The sequence below is a fragment of the Homo sapiens genome, chromosome 8 (genome assembly GCF_000001405.40).
Source record: "Homo sapiens chromosome 8, GRCh38.p14 Primary Assembly".
Classification (NCBI taxonomy): Eukaryota; Metazoa; Chordata; class Mammalia; order Primates; family Hominidae; genus Homo; species Homo sapiens.
In genome coordinates, this window is record NC_000008.11 from 16,672,165 (window position 1) to 16,684,438 (window position 12,274).

The window sequence follows — 12,274 nt, forward strand, 5'->3', positions numbered from 1 at the left end:
AAAGACACAGACTGGCAAATTGGATAAAGAGTCAAGACCCACCAGTGTGCTGTATTCAGGAAACCCATCTCACATGCAGAGACGCACATAGGCTCAAAATAAAAGGATGGAGGAAGATCTACCAAGCAAATGGAAAACAGAAAAAGGCAGGGGTTGCAATCCTAGTCTCTGATAAAACAGACTTTAAACCAACAAAGATCAAAAGAGACAAAGAAGGCCATTACATAATGGTAAAGGGATCAATTCAACAAGAAGAGCTAACTATCCTAAATATATATGCCCCCAATACAGGAGCACCCAGATTCATAAAGCAAGTCCTGAGTGACCTACAAAGAGACTTAGACTCCCACACATTAATAATGGGAGACTTTAACACCCAACTGTCAACATTAGACAGATCAACGAGACAGAAAGTCACCAAGGATACCCAGGAATTGAACTCAGCTCTGCACCAAGCGGACCTAATAGACATCTACAGAACTCTCCACCCCAAATCAACAGAATATACATTTTTTTCAGCACCACACCACACCTATTCCAAAATTGACCACATACTTGGAAGTAAAGCTCTCCTCAGCAAATGTAAAAGAACAGAGATTATAACAAACTATCTCTCAGACCACAGTGCAATCAAACTAGAACTCAGGATTAAGAATCTCACTCAAATCTGCTCAACTACATGGAAACTGAACAACCTGCTCCTGAATGACTACTGGGTACATAACGAAATGAAGGCAGAAATAAAGATGTTCTTTGAAACCAATGAGAACAAAGACACAACATACCAGAATCTCTGGGACGCATTCAAAGCAGTGTGTAGAGGGAAATTTATAGCACTAAATGCCCACAAGAGAAAGCAGGAAAGATCCAAAATTGACACCCTAACATCACAATTAAAAGAACTAGAAAAGCAAGAGCAAACACATTCAAAAGCTAGCAGAAGGCAAGAAATAACTAAAATCAGAGCAGAACTGAAGGAAATAGAGACACAAAAAACCCTTCAAAAAATTAATGAATCCAGGAGCTGGTTTTTTGAAAGGATCAACAAAATTGATAGACCGCTAGCAAGACTAATAAAGAAAAAAAGAGAGAAGAATCAAATAGATGCAATAAAAAATGATAAAGGGGATATCGACACTGATCCCACAGAAATACAAACTACCATCAGAGAATACTACAAACACCTCTATGCAAATAAACTAGAGAATCTAGAAGAAATGGATAAATTCCTCGACATATACACTCTCCCAAGACTAAACCAGGAAGAAGTTGAATCTCTGAATAGACCAATAACAGGATCTGAAAATGTGGCAATAATCAATAGCTTACCAACCAAAAAGAGTCCAGGACCAGATGGATTCACAGCCAAATTCTACCAGAGGTATAAGAAGGAGCTGGTACCATTCCTTCTGAAACTATTCCAATCAATAGAAAAAGAGGGAGTCCTCCCTAACTCATTTTATGAGGCCAGCATCATTCTGATACCAAAGCCGGGCAGAGACACAACCAAAAAAAGAGAATTTTAGACCAATATCCTTGATGAACATTGATGCAAAAATCCTCAATAAAGTACTGGCAAAACAAATCCAGCAGCACATCAAAAAGCTTATCCAACATGATCAAGTGGGCTTCATCCCTGGGATGCAAGGGTGGTTCAATATACACAAATCAATAAATGTAATCCAGCATATAAACAGAGCCAAAGACAAAAACCACATGATTATCTCAAGAGATGCAGAAAAAGCCTTTGACAAAATTCAACAACCCTTCATGCTAAAAACTCTCAATAAATTAGGTATTGATGGGACGTATTTCAAAATAATAAGAGCTATCTATCACAAACCCACAGCCAATATCATACTGAATGGGCAAAAACTGGAAGCATTCCCTTTGAAAACGGGCTAGCCATATGTAGAAAGCTGAAACTGGATCCCTTCCTTACACCTTATACAAAAATTAACTCAAGACAGATTAGAGACTTACATGTCAGACCTAAAACCATAAAAACCCTAGAAGAAAACCTAGGCATTACCATTCAGGACACAGGCATGGGCAAGGACTTCATGTCTAAAACACCAAAAGCAATGGCAACAAAAGCCAAAATTGACAAATGGGATCTAATTAAACTAAAGAGCTTCTGCACAGCAAAAGAAACTACCATCAGAGTGAACAGGCAACCTACAAAATGGGAGAAAATTTTCACAACCTACTCATCTGACAAAGGGCTAATATCCAGAATCTACAATGAACTCAAACAAATTTACAAGAAAAAAACAAACAACCCCATCAAAAAGTGGGCGAAGGACATGAACAGACACTTCTCAAAAGAAGACATTTATGCAGCCAAAAAACACATGAAAAAATGCTCACCATCACTGGCCATCAGAGAAATGCAAATCAAAACCACAATGAGATACCATCTCACACCAGTTAGAATGGCGATCATTAAAAAGTCAGGAAACAATAGGTGCTGGCGAGGATGTGGAGAAATAGGAACACTTTTACACTGTTGGTGGGACTGTAAACTAGTTCAACCATTGTGGAAGTCAGTGTGGCGATTCCTCAGGGATCTAGAACTAGAAATACCATTTGACCCAGCCATCCCATTACTGGGTATATACCCAAAGGACTATAAATCATGCTGCTATAAAGACACATGCACACGTATGTTTATTGCGGCATTATTCACAATAGCAAAGACTTAGAACCAAGCCAAATGTCCAACAATGATAGACTGGATTAAGAAAATGTGGCACATATACACCATGGAATACTATGCAGCCATAAAAAATGATGAGTTCATGTCCTTTGTAGGGACATGGATGAAATTGGAAATCATCATTCTCAGTAAACTATCGCAAGAACAAAAAACCAAACACCACATATTCTCACCCATAGGTGGGAGTTGAACAATGAGATCACATGGACACAGGAAGGGGAATATCACACTCTGGGGACTGTGGTGGGGTGGGGGGAGGCGGGAGGGATAGCATTGGGAGATATACCTAATGCTAGATGATGAGTTAGTGGGTGCAGCGCACCAGCATGGCACATGTATACATATGTAACTAACCTGCACAATGTTCACATGTACCCTAAAACTTAAAGTATAAAAAAAAATAAGAATAACAAAATAAATCCAAAAAAAATAAAAAATAAAAAAAATTTAAAAAAAGACCTTTTTATCTTTTTGCTTTTCTACGTATTATGTGATGAACATACAGTATGTAAATATACATTATTAATTATCTAATGACAAGAGGAAATAAGCTATTTTTGAAACCACCTTTCCAATTTATAAATTTTTCTTTTAATTGCATGCAATTAATATGTATTAGGTAGAGTAAAGAAATGATTAGAAAGTATTTTCAAAAATGTATAGAGAACATTTGCAGAAAGCTAACAAATTGAGAGTCGTAGCTTCTACCTAGAAAACTTGCCTTATTGTGTATAGAAGTCTGGACCATCATGAACCATATCCAGACCTCATGGGGAAATTCCATGTGGTTCAAAGAGCTATAATCAAAGAGGTAAGTCATTCACACACACACACATACACTGTCTCTCACACACACAGACTCACACACATCCACACACATATGCATACATATACACACATGTATACACCCAAAATACAATTATGGAGTAGAAAAGAGAAAACTGTGACAAAGTGTCCTGGCTTGGAGTTGGAATATACTCAGTTCTCGGTTTATTCTATGAAAGGAGCCCCCTTACCTGTTCTTTTTTGTTGTTCTGGACTTTACTGTCCATGATAGTCTTTCTTGTCCATTTTCCTCCATGGTCACATATGCCATAGACTTTGAAGTCACGTCTTGGCGACTGCTTTCTATTAATCTGGTTTTGAAGCTTAGCCATGGCTTCAGAAGTCAAGTAACGAGAGGCTACTACAAGCCAGACTTTTCATTTCTTTGGCGCCAACCCCTCAAAAGTTTCTGTTCTATTTGCCTCTAGATGGTTACATATTCACGTTACCACAGCTGAAGTTCTCAACTGGGATCATTTTTAAACCCGAAAGCTCTGATCATTTATTTACTGGCCTCTGTGTTCTTACTACTCTTATCCCTTTCAATTTAGTGGCAGTCATTTTGACATGTCGTTTACAATAAGGAAAAAAGAATATCCCTTAGAAAAGTATTTGTTAGTTTCTGGATGGTGTCTGTGGTCTGTCAAAGAAAAATTCAGGGAAGCTGCTTGTGAGGAGTTTGGGCTTAGAAATCTTGTCTCCAGCGACAGTATCTGTTCAGAGCCATCTCATACAAAGGCTTCATTTTGGAATAAAAGCAGTTGGCTTTTTCAACACTGGATTTTAAAACCCAGAGGCTCCATTATTAGATTTCATTCTGTTGACAACCTTTTCATCTCAGCGAGCAAAATGATGTATTACAGCCCAAATTCATTTCACTAATAGGACTTTACTATAAAAGGTAAAAATAACCAACATACATCAAATTTCTGCATTTTTCTTAACATGTGCTCTGTAGGCATACAAACTGACTTCCAAGATATCACAGATAATGGATTTGCCACACATACTGGTATGACATGGCAAGTGTCACCTGCTGGCAAACCTGCAATATCGGCACCCTTGCTATTGCCACCCGACCACTGAGACTATGCATCAAGTTTTAGGTTCTGTTAAGGCATCCCATTTCCAGACACTGTACTAAGGCTGGTGATTGTTCAAATGTTGCTTTGGACTCCTTAGGGAATCCTAAAACAAACAATGTTTACCTTAAACAAAATAGATGTCACAACAAGCCCAAGAAAGTAGGTCAAGTCTCCTCTGCTAAGCCCTCAGGGACACAGACAACTTCTGTCTTGTGTCCCTTTAATCTTCAAGAGAAGCTTCTTCCATCTTTTGATTCAAGACAGTGGTTCCAGTTTCTACCCTGGGAATGGAGAACAAGACCGTATCACATGCTGTTAAAGCACAGCCCAAAATGTCATAGCTCATTTTCATTCAGATGTCATTGACCATAGTTTAGCCACATGTCCATACCCAGCTACATAGGAAGCTGGAAAATATAATCCTTAGCTGTGCTGAGTCCAAAAGTCTATGATGTATGAAAAAGGGTGAATGTATTGTGAGGAAAAAACTAGCAGTTTGTATCACTTACATAAGATGCATATTTAAGTAATCAAAATGATGAGTGCCCCAAAGGAAAAATTGGCAGACAGAAGCAAAAAACTCTAAAAAGAAGAAAGAAAAGTTATTAAACCATTTAAAAGTAAACCTACCTAGAGATCCAAGAATGCAACTGGAAACAGTGAACATATACATATTTCTATCAAATTTAAAATAGTCTAAAAAATTATAATACCTGTTGTCATCATGATTTCAGTGAGACATACATCTCCATATTGTTAGAAGTGTGTAAATGCGAACAAACTGCAGGAAACAAATTGGTCATCTGTCTCAAGAGTGTTTACATTATGCAGTCCTTTTGCTGCAGCAATTTCATTTCTAGAAATCCACCTTAAGGTAACAATGATAGATGAGATAAGCGATTTTCATAAAAGAATGCTCACTGACACTGTATTTACAATTGCAAAAATTTAAAAATCTAAATGCCCAATAAAAGAGAATGACAATAATAATCATGATTGAGACACATACTAGAATAGTAATCAGCTGTTAAAAATCATGTTTCAATAGAATATTTGGCAAACTTCCCTAATGCAACACTCGAATAAAAGTAAAACTAGGATATGACATTATTTTATAAAATGGAGTCTAAACTGTGAGTAGGTATTAAATTTTATATCAAAATACCTCAAAATTATAAAGCAAATTGTATTTTTTATGATTTTTTGCATTTCCATGTTATCTACAGTGTACGCGTTTTAATTTAATAGATCAGAAAGTCAATGATGTTATATTCAAAGTTATTCAGATGAAGATGACTATGTTCCTCAAAACTCAAAACTAAACCTCAGCAGATTATCAGGAAATCGTCTTCATTTGCTCAGTTCATAACTGACTCTAACAGCTGCTTGTTCATTTATATTTTCTTTACTTCTCTTTTTGCTGAACTTGTTAACTCAATGAATTGATAGATATTTGAAAAATGAGTTTCATATGAAAGAAAATTCCCTTACTCATCCTAGTCTTTCTTTGGCTAATGTATTTTGTTATTCATTACAGTGTCCTGCCCACATGCGTAGTGGCATAAATGTCTGCTCTTTGAGCTCAGTCAGAAATTAATACTTTTACCTTTATGCTGATTTTTCATAATATATGGAATGAGTTAATGGGCTCAAATTTTATTTTCACCAACTAAAATTACGGAGAAGAAAATTAAAGGCAAAAATATTGTTTAAATTGACATGAAAAATATATTTTAAGTAATCACAGAATAGCAATGGTTAACCTTCTCTGATTGTGCCAGATACCACACTAAGTGCTTAGCAGTTCTTGGCCTATTGTGTCCTCACATCAATTCTCTGAGGCAAGTGCTATGATTAGCTTCATTTTACAGGCGAGGAGTCTGAAGCACAAGGAGTTATATACTTGTCCAGGATTGCTCAGCAGTGAGGGGTGGAGTTGCAACCCAATCCAAGGCAATGTGGCTACAGCGTCTGCACATTTGGCCAGATCACAACACTGTCTCATCATATCAAGAACGATGATAGAATCACCCATAAGTTTTCAACAGCACAGCCTCTGGTAACAAGAGAAAGTTATGTCCTCCCTTATTACAGCTAAAGAAAATAAATTGCTTCTATGTTGATACCATCAGAGACAGTTTCTCATTTTTACTTTTAGCAGATCTGCTGTGGTACATTTGATAACTCGGCAGAATCCAATAAAGGGAATGACAGAGGGAATATCAGATTCAGAACAGACATAGCTGGTCAGTGGCGAGAACAATAATAAAACATTTGATCACCTTGAGTAGTAAGCACTACATAACATCACGATATGCATTCATGAATGTGTGTGTGTGTGTGTGTGTGTGTGTCATGTCTTGATATGCCATATATCTGTCCTTTGAAGTATCTTCTTCAATTCATCATCCAGCTTCAAATTCAGACCTGCAAAAATGCTCTAGGCAAAAGGTGTCCTTTCAACTGATCTGTTTGTTATTGTAATGAGAGCACATTTTATGTGCATAGCCCAATATTTTAGAATTAAGAGCATATACAAAAAATGATACAATATTCAGTGAAATGTTCATCAAATCCATCCAGCTGCACCAGAGGCAGCTTTTATGATTCTCAAAAGGAAAGTCGGATTCCTTGGAACAATAAAACAACTGCACTTATGTAACTGACATTTGATGAGGTGAGACAAATGTTCCTTCAGATTTCCAGAGCTGGCATATCCAAAGTAGCAGGTCAGTGTAGAGCAGTGTATGCGTGTGTGCATGTTGTACATGCACATCAGCTACTGTTTGGTCTAATAATTGGAGCCCAGCTATTGTGCTGGATGATGCTCTGATCTAATTATTGCATTCTGCCATTTCAGGTAACTCTGACAAGCCATCCTGTGCATATGCCTCATGACTTTAATTGCAAGGAGCTGAAAATAAAGCTATTTCTCAAGTTTTTTGTGTCTTCAAGTGCCACAGCATCCAGCTCTCAGAACTCTTTACATTCCCTTTATGCTCTATTTAGGGTTTCATTGAAATCTATTATATTTCACATCATAATGAGAGGGGAGCAATCAAGTTGTTTTGAAAGATATCAGCAAATATCTTGGACCAAATTCCAGAGGTAGTTTTAATGCTCCCAGGATCTTTTTAACATTAAACCCTATTGACCTAGGATCTAGCAATCACTCCTTTCACAGTGGCCAAAAAATATACATGTATCTGAGATCTGGGGGAAAAATAATGACTCAAAAATATGAAAAAAATAAAATTTTAAAAAATTATGTAATTTCTGCCAACACAGCACTGTGTCATCCTGTGAGCTACAACTCAATTATTAGTTACATATGAATTTTGTTACATTCATTTTGATGTTGATATATTTTAAAGAGTGAGAAATAATGTACAATTGTCATCATAAATTGAAAGAACCTAATTGCCTAAACCCTATTTTAATTAATAGTAGGATTGTCACAATTCTTTACCCTGGTTCTCCAGATGTTCAAATGTATGAGTTAATCATTTAACATAAATGATATATATCATTACGGTCTGTTGAAGGTTGGCTAGTTTGGGTTAAAAATCAGCTTCTAAGTCTGGTCCCTACCACCAGTTACACAAGGGCAATTAGAAATAAGCAGTTATGAAAATTCTGCTACAAAACCAGAAGACTCTTTTGGCATGCTGAACTTTATCTTATATTCATAGCCAAAGGAGAAGCCTCTTTTTCATTAACAATTATCACTTTTGTTATAGCCCTGGTTCATAACCTTGGCTGCACATCAGAATCCCATATAGAGTTTTCAAAATTACATACACCCAGGCATCACCCAACACCTCTGAATCAGAATCTCAGAGGAAGGCCCAGGAATTTATTTATATTATATATATTTTTTTAAAAATTACAGGTGATTTAGATGTACTGCTGCTGTGGGAAGAAATAGCCTAACAAGTTAAAATGGGCAGATGTCACTGATGCCTTATCATCAAAATGAACTTCAATGCGGCTGACGGTGTCGTTAATGGTGCAATGTGTCAAATTTGGTCATGTTTTCAAGTGCCATTTCTGGTTACGTTGCTGCCTTGTTTTAAATGGACTGAGGTTTTTTGTAACTTCAGTTGCAGACAATATTTTCTGAGAGTGCACGAGAAATATCAATTTTCTGCAGAGATTATACCACCCCCTAACAGAGTGGAAAGCCACTATTTTACTTCTTTAATGCTGACAAGGCATCTAAAGGGAGACCATTTATCTTTCCTGATAGTTCAGGAAAAAGACAAATGCACGTCTCCTTACTGTATTATCAAAACCAAACAAACAAAAACCAAATTAACTCACCAAATTTGTGAAACAATGACACTTGTAATGAGAGCCTTTTGAGATAATAGAATAAAAATATTACCTGTTAAAATGTACACACTACACTTTGAACAGAATGACAGTTTATTCTCTTACATTCTATAACCTTAAGAATGATTTGCTTTCTCTTCATCTTCACTCTGTAAGAATGCTTACCAACAGACAAAAAGAAACTTCCCGAATTCCAACAACAAAGTAACAATGGATTTGAAGAAAGGGAAAACAGTAATCTGACAACATTCAGTCTTTCCACTGATGACCTGACCCTTTCAAAGTTGTCCAAAATAACAAGTCAAGAATCACTTGAGGTCAGGAGTTCAAGACCAGCCTGGCCAACATGGTGAAACCCCGTCTCTACTAAAAATACAAAAAATTAGCCGGCGTAGTGGAGCACACCTGTAATCCCAGCTACTTGGGAGGCTGAGGCAGGAGAATCGCTTGAACCGGGGAGGTGGAGGTTGCAGTGAGCCAAGACCGCACCACTGCACTCCAGACTGGGTGAAAAAGCGAGATTCCATCTCAAAAAATAATAATAATAAATAAATTTTAAGAATAAACCTTTTGTGTTAGGGTCCTGGGGCTCCTGAAACAAAGTACCACAAACAGAATGGCTTAAAACATTAAAAAAAAACAAAAAACAAAAACAAAAAAAACAAAACAGAAATGTAATCTCTCATTGTTCTGGAGGCCAGAAGTCCAAAATCTAGATGCCCACAAGGTTGGTTCCTTCTGGAGGCTCTGAGGGAGGAAGTCTGTTTCCTCCTGGCTTGTTTGCTGCTGACAAACTTTGGTGTTCCTTGGCCTGCAGATGCATAATTTCAAACTCTGCCTCTGTCTTCACATGTGCATCTCTGACTCTTTCGGTTGCCTTCTTATAAGGACACTGGTTGCAGGATTTCAGACCCATCCTGATTCAGTGTGACTGCATATTAACTTGATCATATCTGCCAAAATCGTATTTCCAAATAACGTCACATTCACATAAGGTCCTGAAGGTTAGGACTTCAACGTATATTTTGGGGGAACATAATTCAATCCACAACACATGCTTTCATTAATTACACAGTTTTAAAAAATAACTTGCTAACTTTGAGTTTGAGTAAAGTAACATTTCATTTACATTCCTGAATTCAGCCCCATTCAAAACAGGCGATCTTGAGTAAGCTACTTAAGCCTGCTCAGCCTCAGTTGACTCATTTGCAGAAGACCATCTCATAGAACTCTTATGAGGTCTAAATATGACAGTGTATATAATGCACATAATACTACTACTTATTGAGGGCTTATTATCTAATCCAAAAGTATTCTTTAAATGAACAAATTGACACACTAAAGATTTGAATGACTTCCTAATGGCACCAGAGCTAGGAGTGAAACACCTAAATCTAAATCCTAAATCTAGAATACTTTCCTAAATCTAGAATACTTTCCACTACATCATTTTGTGCTTATGAAATTATAAAAATACTGGATCATTTTTCCATTTATTTCTCAATGTTATCTATGTTAGTGAGCCTCAGTCAGAAGAACGACAACTTTAAAATTTGCTTTGCAATACAGGAAGCAAGCAGATATGCTATGTGTGATCTTATTTCAATAAAGTTGCAAAGTAACACAAACCAAGTATTCACACATACACAGATACAATGCCTCTGAAATGGCACCTAAAAACAACATGTGTGTAGTGTGTGTGTGTGTGTATGTGTGTGTGTGTGTGTGTGTGTGTGTATACTTGGTTTCTGCCTCTTTGCAACCGTATTCTCTTCTACTTATAAAGTAGTATCCTCATTTCTTCAGTTTTCTTCAGCTACAAGGAAGCCTGGGGCATCACCAGCCACAAGCTTGGCCAACTTCAATGGAGGCAGCCAGAATAAAAAATTTGACAGGGCTCAGTTAACCAGCACTCTTTCACCAGGAAGGCATTTAAATTTGTTAACTGCAAGTATGGCAAGTATAACTCTGCCAGCTTTACTTATGCAATAAGCTTAGTACCTTCAAATAAAGTGAACTTAACTCCATTACTAGACCAGGCAACTCAACTATTTCAGGTTTCAATAAACCACATTTAACTCTCACAATGTCAACTTAGCTATAATCAATGTCAGCAGAAAAAATGGTTTTGTTATTAATATAAGAGCATTTTGAGCTAATCATATTATTTACTAATTAATTCATCATTTCTTGGCTACTTTGTCTTTTAATACTTGGTTTTAATCTTTAAAATTGTATTATGATCAATTAAAATAGCCTGATTTAATTTCGTCTAGCTTTTTTTGAATAAACATAATTGTTTTTAAAAGAACTGTTTTATTGTGTAAGTATATTTCTGCATTTCTAGATGTAATGGGAACTATTTACTCTAAAGGAATTAAGAGATTTATTGTCAAGAATTCTGCTGTGTCATAAACTAAAACATAAAATGGAAAATCACTGTGAACTTACTATGAAAAAGTGATAAACTTTGTTGTCTAATGCTATGATTCATAAAGCTTTACTCAAAATCCTCTGGCTCAATTTTAGAAACCTTATAATCAGTTTTTCTGTTTAAACCTATAATCACTTCCATTTTTCATGTCAGCAGTTTGTGACACTCAGAATTCCTTCCGAAGTATTTTAATTTCATCAAAAATATGTAACACAGATAAGATCCCCTTCTACAGCACACAGGATAAGCTTTCTCACTGTTAGCAGGATTGTCCTGTCTTTTTCAGGTAAATCTTCTCAAAATGTAACTCACCTGATACTTATAAAAGGTATAAGCATTATTATAAAGGTAATAATTTTGATATTTTTGTATAACATGCAATAATCTGACATAGAGGTATTAGTACCACCAATTATTTTAAAAGATCTATGCATCAGGCAGGTTTTGTAGATAATTCAAAATCATATTCAAAAAGATTAAATGAATTAAGATTTAATTACCCAAATATTCTCAAAATGCCAGGCAGTATGATAGCTAGTATCTATTCCTCAAATCACCCACCTCAGTGATTCTAAAAGAAATAACCCCATAGGGAAATGGCACAAGAAACATCAATTTGATGTTCAAGACTTGGTTGATCTTGCCATTTATGCCCCTATAATTTCTATCTTCTTAAAAGCAAGAAAATTTTGTGCTTCAAATAGCATGAGTTCACTCTTATACAGCGGAGGGTAATTCAATATGTGGTTTTCTTCCAATTCAAAGCAAGGAGAGAGGACAGCAAGAGGAACTTTGCAGTAAAGAAACCCAACAGACACTACTTCTGCCAGTTGGTCAAGGTCAACATCAATTATCACAAGTCATGTCGATAGTATG

At 36.3% G+C, this 12,274-nt stretch overlaps 1 long non-coding RNA gene across 1 annotated transcript in view; it reads right to left on the minus strand.

The window, feature by feature from the left end:
* The window catches only part of LOC101929028 (uncharacterized), a 382,849-nt gene that overhangs the window by 299,576 nt on the left and 70,999 nt on the right, over window positions 1-12,274 (minus strand). The window contains exon 3 of the long non-coding RNA XR_007061175.1: window positions 4,753-4,910. This is a non-coding gene — a long non-coding RNA (uncharacterized LOC101929028). The remainder of the gene's footprint in view (window positions 1-4,752; window positions 4,911-12,274) is intronic.